Source organism: Homo sapiens, chromosome 2 (genome assembly GCF_000001405.40).
Source record: "Homo sapiens chromosome 2, GRCh38.p14 Primary Assembly".
NCBI classification, from domain to species: Eukaryota; Metazoa; Chordata; class Mammalia; order Primates; family Hominidae; genus Homo; species Homo sapiens.
The window spans coordinates 196,872,301-196,889,395 of NC_000002.12; the positions used below are offsets into that span (position 1 = coordinate 196,872,301).

The following is a 17,095-nucleotide window of genomic DNA, read 5'->3' on the forward strand; positions in this document are numbered from 1 at the left end:
GAATATTTAAAATATTTTAAATGCCTATTTTTTATATGCATTGGCTTCCATGCCACCATATATCTGAAGCTTATATAAAAAGAACATTTCTAGCTTATTCTACAACTAAATCTTAAAAATTAATCAAACATACAACTTACCTCGTACCGACAGTCTGATGACGTGTACATTTTAAATAATGCCACATGGGTATTGTTTTCTGGTTGAGCAATATGGAGTTTCAGAGAAATTTCTGTGGAAGATGGAGCCCTGAAGAGATAACTTAAATATCAATTCTCAAATACAAAATGCTGGTAAAGAGCCATGGCTAAGTTAATCCTCAGCACAATACAACTGAATAATGTAGAGGAAGCTAGGTGCCAGACACATAATTGTGGATGGGCACTTTTTCAATGATATCACAATTGTTTGAATGCTCCCTCTAGGACACAGGAGTTGCGAGAGGGTGGAAGGGGGTTCAGGTTCCAAGGAAGTAAAGTTTAAGTTCTCTATCATTTCATAAGAATACTATATATTAAATTATAGGAACAATGCTACATAAAGGATACATACATTTTACTGATGCATTTTAATAATTCATGATTTAAATAAATAAACTAAGCAGAATATCTATTATTCAAAAACACCAAAGTTTAAAGTAAATTCTTTCAAATACTTACTGTGCAATGGTTAGTGAATCTTCATAAGACCAAGGAATATGAAGTCTATAGATACTGGTTATTTCTTCTGTTAAAACATTTAAAAAATGTATTATTAACAACATGTTACCCTAAATGTTACATAAACTACTATAATATCTAACTAATTATACAATTGTCCATTTCATTAAAAAAATCAGTACAGGTTATATTACATGATAAAAAATTATGGCGAATTCCTAAATAATAATGCTTTAATTAGATTTATAATAGATATTACAGCAGATAGCCAGTATTAAGAAAGTGGAAAAATACTAAATAACTAAATCTGAATTACTACTATAAGACATAAAGATATATGGCATTTTTAAAATGTGGATATTTAAACTGAAACAGATAAAAATGCTTTACTGTTAAGAAAGGGTCTATGTTAAATCCCCTGGAAATATAAACAACCTGTTATAAATTTAATTTTACTTCACATAAAAATATATGGAAGAATAAGTATTATAGAAAATTTGAGTTAACACCTATTGAGTCTTCAAATGACAATATTATTTTCTATACATTTTTTAGAAAACATATTTACCTTTGACTGCTGAGCACTTGCTTACCACGTTGATTTTAAAAGCTTGGTATATCTAATAGAGTTTGACCACAAAAACAAAATATAAAGGTTTACTTGTATGTTAAAGTAAACATTAAAGTAAAATCAAATCCTTTTTCTTGTAGTCAGGATTAATTACCTGTCCAAAGTTCAGAAGCTCTAGATTGTAGTATAGGCCATTTGTATTTAACACCACTTTCCTTGAAGACAATCCTGTTGAATTCAAAGTACTGTATTACTTAGAATATCAAGGAAGTTTTTAAAAACATACTGATTATTTAATTAGCATTAAGACAATGCCAATAATTAAAAATTTATTTACAGGTTTTCACTTCTGTATGGAGTTAACTCCTAAAAATCTAATCTCCCAGCAATAAACTCTAGACAAAATAAATTTTATTACTTCCAATCACATCTATCTGCTTTTAAAAAAGTCAGGTATATAATTCCAATTTCAGAAAGGTGTACTTTCTTGGTAGATCTTTTATTTTACAAGCTTCTTATCTTCAATGATATGGGTGATTCAGAATTGTCATTTCTGTATTGTTCTGGGTAGTTTTGTACCAAAACAAAGGGTAGGGGGAAAAATAAAAATCCTAAAGTTTTGCCAAGTAACACAGATTCTTTTCATAAATAAAATGTAAAAAAAATATTTAAAGGGCACAGGAGCCAACATAAAAAAGTTCCCAATATTCAAAGCTAGAATAACTTAAGCAAAAATATATATAATGATAGAATTGGATTATAGCCCAATGAATAAAATAGATACCTCTGAGTCCATAGTGACATAAATAAAAATTGAATAAATAAATAATGGGGGAGAAGGGTCTACTTTATCTCAGGAAGAATTCCACTAAATGTAGAATACCAGAGTGATATTTGCTAAGTACTAGATGAACCAATGGATGCTAAAAATAGTGGGTTATTCTAAAGAAAAACAGGACATTTATATATTCTCAAAGTATGTCACCCCAGATATTTATTAATTACAAAAGGAAAAAGCAATAACATTATAGCAGAGAAATCTAGCAGGCACCACCTTAACCAAGAAAGGAAAATTAACATAACTAGTAATTAGAGATATCAGTATCACGTATACTCAATATGATATAGTAGGAAATCCTCATTGCTTCTGTGGTATTTTGGCAAAAATACATAACCTCAATCTAATCATAAGAAAGTATTAGGCTGGGCACGTTGGCTCATGCCTGTAATTCCGGCATTTTGGGAGGCCAAGGCATGCTGATTTCTTGAGTCCAGGAGTCTGAGACCAGCCTGGGCAATATGGTGAATCTCTGTCTCTACAAAAAATACAAAAAAATTAGCTGAGCATGGTGTCACATGCCTGTAGTCCTAGCTACTCAGGAGGCTGAGGTGGAAGGATCGCTTAAGCCCAGGAGGCAGAGGTTGCAGTGAGCTGGGATCATGCCACTGTACTCCAGCCTGGGTGACAGAGTGAGACCCTGTTCCCCACTCGCCCCACAAAAATGAAACAGACAACTCCAAATAAGGAACATTGCACAAAATAATTGAACAGTATTCTTCAAAGGTTTCAAAGTTGTGAAAGACAAGGAAAGACTGAGGAACTGTCACAGATTATAGGAGACTTAGGAGTCATGACAACTAAATGCAATGTGGAAACCTGGATAAGCAGGACATCTGTGGAAAAACTGGTGAAAAACAAATAAAGCCTGTAGTTTAATTAACAGTATTGCACCAATGCTAATTTCTTAGTTTAAAAAAATTGTATTGTGTTTATGTAGAAGGTCAACCTTAGGGAAATGTGGGTGAAGGATATACAGGAACTCTTTTGTAACTTTTCTGTAAATCTAAAATTATTTCAAAATAAAGTTTAAAAGAATATTTAGAGAAATCTTGAAACCTTCTTATACAAATAATTTATAACTCTATATTAAAATTGTATTAATAAGGGCCAATAGGATAAATTTCACATAAGAACAGACACACAGACACATAGATACACACACGCAATTACCTGCAAATGTATGTGATTATGGAAGTTCACTTCTCAGAATATGACTGCTAGCCCAATGAGAATAAAACCACTGAACCACATCATATAGTTATTCTAAGAACTATACTTGAAATATTCAACATTTGATATTACAAAGCTCTGCTTTACTGCAACTCTGTTAAAAATAAAAGCAATTCTTATGCTTTCCAAAAACAAAGTACTTACCAAAGGAAAAAAGATGAGTTACAGGAAGCTGTATGTATCTTTTCTCTTTTTTAAAGAATTCACAATCTACAACAAACTGAAATATAAAACATTGATTTATTAGAAAAAGTAAGTTAAATTTACAGTAAAGTATCTTTACTTGATGTTTGAGTGGAAAATAAAAGTCTATAAACCTCAGCTTTGGAGAAAGTATCATCTATTACACTATAATTCTGCCTATACTTAAGTGGCAAGAATTTCTCAAGGAGAGATACTATGCTGAGAAAACTTGATATACAAGCCTAACTTAATAGATAAATTATTCGAGGGCCATTTCTAGAACAACAGATTCATAGCAGTTTTTTTATAGTTAGCTTTAGGTGTTTGCATAAGAAGGACAGTAAAGGATGGATGAAAGTATTATCAGCCTAGGCTAATTCAAGATTAGTTAAAGATTTAGATACTATGTCTCTTAATACTTTCATAGTCAAAAGGAAAATGTGATTTTGTTTTATATCTTTTTGAAAAATCCTGTATTTATTAAAGATAGTCTAATTAGACTATAAAAGCCTGCTGGAGAAATACTGCCATTCATTGACACATGGCTAATGTTATTTGTGGAACACTATTTCAGGTTAAACAGTTATCACAGTAAGTGGAAAAAAGGTTTACTATGTATGAAGCCAGAAAAAGAAATGCTTTTCAAAAAAGTAAAACTATAATGTGACACTTGCATCATTATAATTTTTTGTAGTGACATTTCTTTTTAAATAACATTTCTATTAGCTGCATAAGAAACTCTGCTCTCACTTATCTGCAAGAACTGTTTCTGGTAAAGGAATAATTTCATTAAAATAATCTCTACAATGCAATCATATTATTTTGATCTACGGAAGCTAAAGAAAAATTAATCTGATGCATAACTGTAGCTAGCAAGTAGTTTGCTGTCTACAAAAGTGGAAAGCTAGTGGGGTCTATCCTAGGCTTTTCTAATAACTATACTTTGGATTTGTCTGAAGCAGTGTTACTTTGTTTGCCTCTTGGGTAGATTTTTGATTGTTTTCAAAAGTGAAAAACAGACAGGGAAATTGCTATTAGATTAATCCATACACTTGGGGGAATAAAAGAAAAAACTTTTAAGGGGTTTTGCTTTATTTCTCCCTCCTTACAAGGCAAAGAACACAGTCAGATATTTTCATTATAGAAAACAGCTGCTAAAAGATTATAGCAATCATTTATTGAACAGGATTACTCATTACATTTTTTACAAAGTACTTTTGGATAAGCCTATATCAGACAGGGAAGCAGTTTTTAAAAGCAATTTCATTACTTTGAACAAGTTTAAAATAATATAATTTTTATTATTGCTTTAAAAATTTGGCTATGCCTTTAGTTTTGCATAATGACAAAAACCCTACCCAAGAAAGAGAAAATTCAAAGGCCTGTCTCTGAAACACCCACGATAAGTAAATTTCTAATGGGTTTAATTATTTTGTTTTCTGTTACAAAAAAATGCAGATAAATTCCATATTTGCATTTCTAAAAATATACTGACAGAAGTTGACTCAAAAATGTTTTACACTATTTGAATATATGTCATGTTCTGATGATGAGCTATACATAGACATGCAAAAATTATGAAAGACTTAAGTTATAATTCTAGTGAGATGGGGTTGTACAACAGTAGAGTCAGCAGTGTTACTTTCCAAAGAGCATTAAGATGCATTACATATTTATTAGGCTGCTAAGACTGTCTATTTGCAGAAAGACTCATCAATTTCTTGGAATAACCAGAGAGGGCCTTTTCAAGTTTGAGAAAAATGTTAGATTCATTCAAAACCAGCTTACCTGCCAGAAAAACCCTTTAAGAGAGGTTTTAGTATTGCAGATGCTGAATTACCTCTTACTTGAGCTAAGCAAAACAGAACAATGAATCCATTATAAGGTACTTGTGAGATTTAGTCATTGAGATGACTCCCAACTACATCCCCCTTTTCCTTTCTCTATTTCTCCTACATTTTTCTGATTATTTTGGCTACAAATCTTATGAACCTTCTCAGTCAATAAACATTTTCTTGAGCATTTATGCAGTAGTCACTGAAGGTTGAGGATGCAAAGTAGAATAAAACCTATCTGTTCATTACTCTTAAAGAGTTCACAATGTGGTCATGGCAACTGAGACATAAATAAATTATAATTCAATATAATAAATTTTTCAAAGAAGTTATAAAGTATCATGAGAATAAGTAAAAGATTACTGGGGGACTCTGGAAAAGGGAAAAAGGGACATGGGTTGGATCTTGAAGAGTAAGTTTGCTGGGTGAAATAGGAAAAGGGGAGTCCGAAGGGCCCTTTACCTCCATTTTCTTTCTTACCCACTAATTCTATCAAAATCACCATTCTTTTCTTTCTATTCCCACTTCCCTAGTACAAGCTGAGGATCCCTCATCCAAAATGCATGGAACTAGAAGTGTTTGATTTTTTTCAGATTTTGGAATATTTGCCTATACATAATCACATATCTTGGGGATGGAACCCAAGTCTAAACACAAAACTCATTTATGTTTCATACATATCTTACACACTTAGTCTTAAGGTAATTTTTATATTTTTAATAACTTTGTGCATGAAACAAAATTTTGACTGTTTTGACTACATCTCACCACATGAGGTCAGGGGTTGAATTTTCCAATTGTGGTGTCAGGTTGGCACTCAAAAAGTTTTAGATGGCGCGTCCTCATTATTATAGCAATGAGTATCCCCACCTGTCAGAAAGTTTTTAGAGTTTGGATTTTTGGATTAAGGGTGCTCAGTCTGTACAAACCCCTTATGAGGTACCTAGTCTGTTTCTGATCTATTCTACAGCATAAGGAGATTAATCTTCCCAAATAAATGATTTCTGATACCATTACTACTATAGTTAAAAATCTTATGGCTTCCTACTGACTTCTGAATTCCATAAAGTCCTGAATCCTCCAATCAAAACTTTCACAATATGGCCATGAACTAATTTTCCAGACTTTTCCTCCACTACTATTCAAACCCATTGTGGCCATCCTTTCAAAATTATTATTTACTTATTCACTGTTTTTCAAATATACTTCATGCTTTGCTCTGTTGCTTTGTCTAAACAGTGCTGTCCATTATAACTCCTGGCAATGATGTCACTATTGAGCATCTGGAATGTGACTAGGACAATTAGGGAACAGAATTTTTTATTTTATATTAACTTAAATTGAAATAACCACATGTGCTAGTGATTCCTGTATTGACAGCATGGCTCTACAATGTTCATTCTTCCTATAAAAATCCTAACTACCCATTAAGGCCATTTTGTTTTATTTTATTTCATTTTAAAAGTGGGGTCTCATTATGTTGACCGGGCTGCAGTACAGTGGCTATTCACAGGCATAATCATAGCATACTACAACCTCTACCTCCTGGGTTCAAATGATTCTCCTGCTTCAACTTCCCAAGTAGCTGGGATTACAGGTACTTGCCACCATGCCTACTTGAAAGCCATTTTAAATATCACCTTATTATAATGCCATTCTTTTTATGTACTTGCTATATTCTGATTTGTGTTATGTGTATTTGGGTAGTTCTTTTTCCACTCTTCCCTCTGCTCCAGTTACATTTCTCTCCCCCTTCCCAATAGTATGTAGCTTTTTAAGAACAGGGTCTTGTCAGCCAGGCGCGGTGGCTCACACCTGTAATCCCAGCACTTTGGGAGGCCAAGGTGGGCGGATCACCTGAGGTCAAAAGTTCAAGACCATCCTGGCCAGCATGGCAAAATCCCATCTCTACTAAAAATACAACAATTAGCTCGGTGTGGTAGCATGCGCCTGTAGTCCCAGCTACTTGGGAGGCTGAGACAGAAGAATCACTTGAACCCAGGAGGTGGAGGTTGTAGTGAGCCAAGGTTGCGCCACTGCACTCCAGCCTGGGTGACAGAGCAAGACTCTTTCTCAAAAAAACAAAACAAAACCAGGGTCATGTCTTCATTTGTGTGCCTCCTATAATTCCTGGTACATAGCCTTATACTTAAAGGGTACCTAATAATTCATAGGTTTTGCACCTATGAATTATTATTATGTGCCTAATAATTCATAGATTTTGAAAGACTGATTGATAAACTGGAACCAGTTCTCACTTGGAACAAAGAAACTTGGGTTCATTCTGCTTAGTTCAAGTTAGAGTAGATGATCCTAATAATTTAACAGTCTTAGGTGGATCATCAAACTGGCTACTGTTTTAGATAAACTGTGCAGAAAAACTCATTGAAAAAGAACTGTAAAATTTAGCATGTGTCTCCAAAACATTCTAATAACAATCTTAACCCACTTGTTACCTTACTTCCACGAACAGATGGTACATAAACAACAAGATGAGACAAAGATGGATAGTCTTGAAGTCTTAATGTCAGATACTAAAATAAAAAAAAAAGAAACTACTTTTATTTCTTAGAGATTAATGCATGTTTAAAGAAAAATAAATAACACTTATTTCTTACTTAATTCGTTATCTTAAAAAGCAGGCTTCCAATTTATGTTCAGTACTTCATAAAATGCCCATGTTTACATTTCCAGGTCAATAATCCTGTTGAAAATCAAGTTCCTAATAATTATTATGTTAAATAGGAACTGCCAAAAATATTCTTTGGATCCCTTCATATAAAACAAATGACATTTAACATTAAATTTAATTATTATCTATAATTATTTCCAAATTTGGTGTCTTTCTTTTTATAATTTGGTTATTTGTTACATATAGTATCACAGTATTGTTTCTACATTTATTTTGGTAGTATATAACACAAAACATTCAATAGCTGATGAATGAATAAATGCTAAATATAATGAAAGAGTTACAATTTAATCTCAAATTATTTTGATCTAGCCCAAGTAGTAAAGAGTTGCTGTCTAATGGCATATCTGCACATCATCCCCTGGAATTTATTTAGCAAATGATAAAGACAAGTATGTCTAAATAATGCACCTCACCAAATAAGTAATTATTTATTTCTCAAAATTAAGACCAGTCCTATAGTCCATATTTTGAGGAATGAATTGGTAGAAGACTGCTCTATTTAATGAAAAGCCAAGGCACCAAATACAGGTTTTTTTGTTTTCTTTCTTGTTTTAATTTAACTTTTATTTTAAGTTCAGGGATAGATGTGCAAATTTGTTACACAGGTAAACTTGTGTCATGGGGGTTTGTTGTACAGATTATTTCATCACCCAGGTACTAAGCCTAGTTACCCACTAGTTATTTTTCCTGATTCTCTTCCTCCTCCTACTCTCCACCCTCCAATAGGCCCGAGTGTGTGTTGTTCCCCCTACATGTCCATGTGTTCTCATCATTCAGCTCCCACTTATAAGTGAGAAGATGCAGCATTTGGTTTTCTCTTCCTGCATTCATTTGCTAAGGATAATGGCCTCCAGTTCCATCCATGTTACTGCAAAGAACATGATCTCATTCTTTTTTATGGCTGCATAGTATTCCATGGTGTATATGTAATACATTTTCTTTATCCAGTCTACTATTGATGGGAATTTAGGTTGATTCCATGTCTTTGCTATCATGAATGGTGCTGCAATGAACACACATACATGTGTCTTTATAATAGAATGCTTTATATTCCTTTGGGTATACACCCAGTAATGGGATTACTAGGTCAAATGGTATTTCTATTTTTAGGTCTTCAAGGAATCTCCACACTGTCTTCCACAATGGTTGAACTAATTTACACTCCCACTAACAGCATGTAAGTGTTCCTTTTTCTCTGCAACCTCGCCAGCATCTGTTATTTTTTGACTTTTTAATAATAGCCATTCTGACTGGTGCGAGATAGTATCTCACCGTGGTTTTGATTTGCATTTCTCTAATGGTCAGTGATGTTGAGCTATTTTTCCATATAATTGTTGGCTGCATGTATGTCTTCTTTTGAAAAGTGTCATTTCATGTCCTTTGCCCACTTTTTAATGAATTGTTTTTATCTTGTAAATTTGTTTAACTTCCTTATAGATGCTGGATATTAGACCTTTGTCGGATGCAGAGTTTGCAAAATTTTTCTCCCATTCTGTAGGTTGTCTGTTCACTCTGTTGATAGTTTCCTTTGCTGTGCAGAAACTTTTTAGTTTAATTACATCCCATTTGTCAATTTTTGCTTTTGGTATCAACATCATGAAATCTTTGCCCATTCCTATGTCCAGAATGGTATTACCTAGGTTGTTTTCCACATTTTTTATAGTTTTGGGTTTTACACTTGTTTTTAATCCATCCTGAGTTAATTTTTGTATATGGTGTAAAGAAGAGGTCCACTTTCAACCTTCTGCATAAGGCTAGGCAGTTATCCCAGCACCATTTATTGAATAGGAAAACTTTTCCCCATTGCTTGTTTTCGTCAAGTTTGTCAAAGGTCAGAGAGTTGTAGGTGTGTGGCTTTATTTCTGGGTTCTCTATCCTGTTCCATTGCTCTATGTGTCTGTTTTTGTACCAGTACCATGCTGTTTTGGTTACTGCAGCCCTGCAGCATAGTTTGAAGTCAAGTAGTGTGATGCCTCCAGCTTTGTTCTTTTTGCTTAGGATTGGTTTGGCTTTACTGAGCTCTTTTTTGGTTCCATATGAATTTTAAAATAGTTTTTTCTAGTTATGTGAAGAATGTCCATAGTAGTTTAATAGAAATAACACTGAATCTATAAATTGCTTTGGACAGTATGGCCATTTTAATGCTATTGATTCTTCCTATCCATGGTCATGGAATGTTTATCCATTTGTTGATGTCATCTCTGATTTATTTGAACAGTGTTTTGTAATTCTCCTTGTAGAGAACTTTTATCTCTCTGATCAGTTGTATTCCTAGGTCTTTTATTCTTTTTTTGGCAATATTGGATGGAACTACATTCCTGATTTGGCTCTTGGCTTGACTGTTGTTGGTGTCAATAGGAATGTTAGTTATTTTTGCACATTGATTTTGTATCATGATAATTTGCTGAAGTTGCTTATCAGCTTAAGGAGCTTTTGGGCTGAGACGATGGAGTGTTCTAGATATAGGATCATGTCATTTGCAAACAAAGATAATTTGACTTCCTCTCTTCCTATTTGGATGCCCCTTATTTCTTTCTCTTGCCTGATTGCCCTGGCCAGGTCTTCCAGTACTATGCTGAATAGGAGCGGTGAGAGAGGGCATCCTTGTCTTGTGCTGGTTTTCAAGGGGAATGCTTCCAGCTTTTGCCCATTCAGTATGATGTTGGCTGTGGGTTTGTCATTAGATGGCTCTTATTACTTTGAGATATGTTCCTTCAATACCTAGTCTACTGAGAGTTTTTAACATGAATGGGTGTTGAATTTTATCAAAAGCCTTTTCTGCATCTATTGAGATAATGATGTGGCTTTTGTCTTTAGTTCTATTTATGTGATGAATCACCCAAATACAGTTTTTAATCGAGTTTTGTTCTGGAAGTATGTGTGGGGTGGGAGTAGTTATATGTTCTAACAATATGTTTGCACTAAACATTTCTAAAGACACTTAGCTTTCCCCAATCTTCTTGAGAAGCACCAATGTGGGCAAGGAGGACAGAGATGCTCAAGCTAAAGAACCATTAATGAGTAGCCTTCTAACAATCTGACCAGATTCATGTGGGATGTTTATCAAACATAAACTCCTGGGCTTCACCCCGACTTAGCAAAGTCCCTGTGACAGACTCATATGTTCTAATGTAAATTAAAGAGCCTTAAAAGGGCCACATAAGCCACAGCTACAGGCAGCTAAGACCCACCAGACAAATGGTAGCTAATATGAAACATTAATTAGGAAGAACTTGGATAATCTGTGCAGCTATCCACTCTAATGGCTTTTAAGTATTTATTCTCAACAATGGCCAAGTGTTGAATTTATACGTGCTTTGATGGAGGGCTCCATCTATTTATTAAAAGTTCAGTCCACAGAAATGCCTAACAATGATATAATTCTCATCTGACATTACTTTTATTGAGATATTAATATGAATAAAATTTATAAAATGTATTTGCTTTAGTCATCCCTTCAATTTCAAAGCAAAATAATTTTGTGTGCTGTTTATAAATGGCTAATACATATTACATTCAATTTTGACTTTCATTAAAATAAAAGATCTATCCTCCTAAGCTGAGAACACACAAGATTGCAGAATGCTATAATACTTGTTTTCTAACTTCTCTCTTTCAGCATTTGCCATGAAAAGTAGGCAGCTGAAATAGCTTGTTCTCCTGCTGTTCAGCCAGCTGTTTCTTACATTCAGAACAAACAACATAGGGACCTATTGTTTGATATAGAGACTGATTAATCTTTGGAGATTTAAAAGAATAATATAAAAATTTTATGATTTAAGAAATACCTTTTAAAACATAGGAAGCAAAGTACATTTTATTGGGTTTTTAATAATTTATTTCTTCTTAATCTTTATAGGCTGGATAGAACATCCAAATTAATCTATACAATTCATCCACGTAATAAAAAAATCACCTATACCCCTCAAGCTATTGAAATAAAAAAATAAGTTGAGGAAATATTTAATAACACCTTATAAATGAGTGTGCAGTAAGTATATCCTAACACTTTTGTTTGTTTTGATCCTGGTTAGGATAGTACCAGTGAGAAACCTTAAAAATGTTCAAGAGTCAATTTACTTTCCTATCATATTTGTTTGATAAACACAAGGTCACATGAATGAATATGTACAAATAAGATTGACCAAGGTGACAAAAAAATTGCAACCATTCCAAAGTGAAGTGTGACTTGCAATTATTTCTTCTGTCACCATTCCTCTCTGTTAGCATAAGTTTCTCATTCTCTGTTTGTATAGTATAGAGTTGACTATTCATACAAATAATTATAAGCATTCATGAGCAAAAATAACTAACTTAATTGGAGTTAATCGTGAAATAATTGGAAACCACCAGATGATTTCACTTTCAAGTCAATGAATGAGTCTAGGATTCATTATGAAACTATATTTTTAAAGTACAGATTTACTTGAAGACTGAAAACTATCAATCCGGATAAAATTTATCAGTTACAATAAATACAATTTGGAAATTAGAACAGATATTTTCATCACATTTTAGGATTATTTTGCTTTTTCAACAATAGATTTTGAGACTGCGCAAATAAGCCCTTTATAAAAGAACTTGCTGACCTACCAGAGTTGCTTAATCAAATCACAAACAACTATTAAATAAATCCCTGCTGTGACTTATCACCCTGGAGAGCACTAGATAAACTAGTTATTTGAGTGCTTGACCATGTATCATATCTGTTTGAGATGTCCACTTCCCAACTGCAGGCCCTTCCTCCCAAAATGAGTTCTAAGTATACTAACTCAGCTCATATTTTAAGGCAGGCCATTCAAACATATCCTCAAATTGAATGTTAGAAATCCATCCAGTTCTTTTTGTATGAAGTTATAATATACAGAGATTTAGAGGACTGTTAACTTATAGTTTTTATCTCTGAAAGTAAAAAAAATATAAATAACACTAATTGTATGTTATTCCCTATCAAATGTATTTCTAGAGAAAATATTTTTTAAATGTAGGTTAGTAAATCTCAAGTTTATTTAATACCAAGATAAGCTAATGAAAGAGAATATTTTAAAATGTGTATAGACTCAAGTATTTTTTTCAACTGAATATTAAAATTCTGAAGCCATAATTTACCTTAATTGTTGGCAGCAGTTCAGCTTTCCATGATAAATCAACCCCTTGCAGGCTTTGAAATAAATATGAAAATATAATTAAAGGACAAATATATGGAAGTATTACAAATTATAAATAAGATTCAGAGGAAAAAGAAACCATCTCTACACCTAGTAGAGATGTCTATTGAGCCTAATCCAATATACTCTGTCCACATATTTCCCTTAGCAACAAAAATGTTTTTCCCAGCTAATTTCAATGTTTGCAAAAATTACTAGTATATTCATTTCCTTTACTTTTCATTTTAAAAACAATATTATAATTTCATATAGCATCAAAATGAAAATAACAATGTATGAAACTATTCTAAAAGTGTGGTTTCCGAGTATTGTTTATGTTGAGATAAATGAACATGCATTCAAAAGACTTACCACATAGAAGTGCTGTTTATGCAAGCAAAAATCCAACTATTTGTATCCTGTTGATGAACAGCACAAAACAAAACACACTAAGTATTGTAGAAAATAATTATACAAAACAAACACCCATTTTCAACACTTTTTATTGTTATATGATATAGGGTGACTAGGAGCAAGTGAAACGTAAATAACAGCTTATTGTTGAGAAACATATCCAAGATGTTCTCAAAGTCAAATAAATCAAGGATGGGTAAAGAAGTCTAATGTCAACATTGATAGGTAAGCAGTTATCCTGGAGCCAAGAGTACGAGAAGGACTGCCCTGACTGGTTATCTCTTTTTTTTTTTTTTTTTTTTTGAGATGGAGTCTTGCTCTGTCACCCAGGCTGGAGTACAGTGGCACGACCTTGGCTCACTGCAACCTCCTCCTCCTGGGTTCAAGTTATTCTCCTGCCTCAGCCTCCCAAGTAGCTGGGATTACAGGTACCCACCACCATGCCCGGCTAATTTTTGTATTTTTAGTAGAGACGAGGTTTCACCATGTTGGCCAGGCTGGTCTTGAACTCCTGACCTCAAGTGATCTGCCCGCCTCGGCCTTCCAAAGTGCTGGGATTATAGGTGTGAGCCACCACGCCTCGCCATCTTTCTACAGCATATCACCTAAGTATTCCTAATTATTGAACCAAAATTTTCAGATTTCAGTAATGTCCATACTTTAATTAGATAGTTATATAGTAAGTAATCTACATTTTTTAAATGAAGAATGAAAAGCTGGAGGTAGACTTTTATACAAACATAAATCCAGAGTCAAGCAATTAAAAATAATTTATATACTGTGTTTTACTTTATCGTTTGAGTTTCCATTTGGTTACCAGCAAATAAGTCCCTTTTTTTTTGAGACAGAGTCTTGCTCTGTCACCAGGCTGGAGTGCAGTGGCACAATCTCGGCTCACTGCAACCTCTGCCTCCTGGGTTCAAGCGATTCTCCTGCCTCAGCCTCCAGAGTAGCTGGGACTACAGCGGTGTGACACCACACACAGCTAATTTTTGTATTTTTAGTGGAGACGGGATTTCACCATGTTGGCCAGGATGGTCTCCATCTCTTGACCTCATGATCCGCCCGCCTCAACCTCCCAAAGTGACCAGCAAATAACTTCTATACAACCAAGAATGTGTTGGACTAAAGCCCAATTCCAAGGGCTCCAGACTAAAGCTGGTTATGGTTCATCAGCACAGGATGGAAATGCTGCAGAGATGATTGTGACATTTTAACATATTCTGTATTCAGCTTTAGTCAATTAAAAGCAGTGTGACCGCACTGTGGGAGGCCAAGGCAGGCGGATCACAACATCAGGAGATCGAGACCCTCCTGGCTAACACGGTGAAACCCCGTCTCTGCTAAAAATACAAAAAATTAGCTGGGCGTGGTGGTGGGCGTCTGTAGTCCCAGCTACTCAAGAGGCTGAGGCAGGAGAATGGCATGAACCTGGGAGGCGGAGCTTGCAGTGAGCCGAGATCGCGCCACTGCACTCCAGCCTGGGCGACAGAGCGAGACTCCATCTCAAAAAACAAAACAAAACAAAACAAAAACAAACAAACAAAAACAGCAGTGTGACCTGAGATCTTAACTGCAACTTTTAAGGAAGTAAGAGCAATGTTCTGAGATATGATTATCTAACTAGTGAAATCCTACCAAGACATAAGAGGATGAGAAGCACTGCTCACATAGCTACATAAATTTGTCCTTTGAATCACAGATAGGACAACCAAGAAATCAATGCTTTTATTCAACTGATACTTATAAAGTCCATTCTATGGCCAAGGAATGATATACTAAGCCCTCAGGGAAAATGATGAATCAGGCAGACATAGTCTCTGCTCTCATTCAGCTTACATAAAATGTTAAGACATTTTTCAGGAATATATAAAAGAAAGCTGACAGGAAACAAATAAAAAAGTGTGGTGTTTCTCTGTAGGCAAAATACTTGTGTGAGTCCTGTATCAGTTACCTGTACTTCCCAGAACAATAATGTGACATTAAAGAAGCAAGACAACAGAACAGATCTGCACAGCCTGGACACAGAAAATCTAGCAGCCTATAAAGATCCAACCCATTTTTGTAAAGGGTTTTTGCCGCTACTAAGAAGGGGCCTATCCTCAAAGGTAACCCTCATTATGAAAATTGCTGATATTCCATACTACTTCGGTGTATAGGGAATTCTGACTCATTCATCAATGGATTGAATAGATAGAGTATCTAACACCATCAAAGTCCATCAAAACACCATGTTGATATAACCTAGATGTCAAAAGGTGAACTAATTACAAAAATCATACTAAAAACCTTAGAAGTTATTCAAGGATTATTGACTAACTCCTAAAGTATACAGGAAAGAAAATGCTACTGATCAAAAATTTATAGTTCTCAAAAAATTCTGTCTACTGTATTTAATGGCTACTAAAAACCATCAAGTGAAAGACTGACTGGGCACTTTATAATGGATGGATCATGCTGTCACCACTGAGCCTACCAATATCTTTTTCTCTAAAAGTGGTAAAACCAGATATTATGTACCTCCTGGTACCATAAAATAGGCGATCCACAGCTCTACTTATAAAACATTCTTACTATAAAAAATTAATCTGAATCTAATCAAGATTCTAGATCTAACTACCAGTTTACAGAAAACATAGGGGATAGAAATACATACTAAAAGACACTATGGGAATACAATCAGTTAAACCTAGATTGTGGGAAATTCTGTAAAACATGTAATACATTTCTTTGAACATTTAAGTAGCATGGGGGAAAGGGGGTGGGGCTATTTATTATAAAAGAGACATAAGATCTAGGAACTAAAGGCAATGTATACTTTGGATCCTGATTCAGATAAACTTAAAATTTAAGTGAACCAAGGAAAACTGAACATGGAGTGAATATCAGATGATACTAAGGAATTAGTATTAATTTGGTTGGATGAAATAATGGTATTATGGTAATGTATAAAATCCTTATAGGAAAACATACTTTATGGATGAACTAATAAAATGCCCAGAATTTACTTTTAAAATTTTTCAGTCAAAAAAAGTGTAAATAAATAAATGATTTAAGAATGACAGAGTATTGATAACTGTTAAAGCTGTGTGTTGATTATAAAAAAATTCATTCTTATATTTTCTTTCTGCCTTTATATAAGCTTGAAAATTTCTATAATAAAAATTGAAAAGATTTTTTTAAAATTCACATGAGTTTATGTTAATTAATACCCATGAACATTAAATACAGAAAAAAGATCCTCCCATCAGCCAAATGAATAATTTGCACTTTGACAAGCATTTTTCTTAATATAATACTGACATTCTGATTTGAAATTTAGTATTAAGTGAGAAAAGATACTTTAAGCTTTTACTCTCAAGGCCAGAATCTGCCAGGGTAAACTGCCCATCTAGATTTTAGGCTGAGAGATGCAAGTCTCTGTGAGAGATGCAAAAGTCTGGTAATTTCACTAAAATATAGTACCCATTAGCATCCAGCCCACAATGCCTATCATCTTTTTTTAAAATATTTTACTATA

The 17,095-nt window shown here is 33.9% G+C and overlaps 1 protein-coding gene across 8 annotated transcripts in view; it reads right to left on the reverse strand.

Annotated features, from left to right (window-relative positions):
- Nucleotides 1-17,095, reverse strand: part of PGAP1 (post-GPI attachment to proteins inositol deacylase 1) — a 93,704-nt gene that overhangs the window by 39,297 nt on the left and 37,312 nt on the right. For 6 of the 8 annotated variants that reach the window (XR_007082522.1, NM_001321100.2, NM_024989.4 and 3 more), the window contains 8 exons: nucleotides 13,534-13,580; nucleotides 13,124-13,175; nucleotides 7,776-7,853; nucleotides 3,446-3,521; nucleotides 1,385-1,458; nucleotides 1,228-1,279; nucleotides 660-726; nucleotides 141-249 (listed from right to left, as the gene is read on the reverse strand). Coding sequence is in view for 6 of the 8 variants with exons in the window: in NM_001321100.2 (NP_001308029.1) it covers nucleotides 141-249; nucleotides 660-726; nucleotides 1,228-1,279; nucleotides 1,385-1,458; nucleotides 3,446-3,521; nucleotides 7,776-7,853; nucleotides 13,124-13,175; nucleotides 13,534-13,580 (555 nt within the window). In the remaining 2 variants the exon portion in view is untranslated. Of the gene's footprint in view, nucleotides 1-140; nucleotides 250-659; nucleotides 727-1,227; nucleotides 1,280-1,384; nucleotides 1,459-3,445; nucleotides 5,337-7,775; nucleotides 7,854-13,123; nucleotides 13,176-13,533; nucleotides 13,581-17,095 lie in introns of those variants that run through there. The other 2 variants (XR_001738960.2, XM_047445910.1) reach the window with 2 other exon arrangements.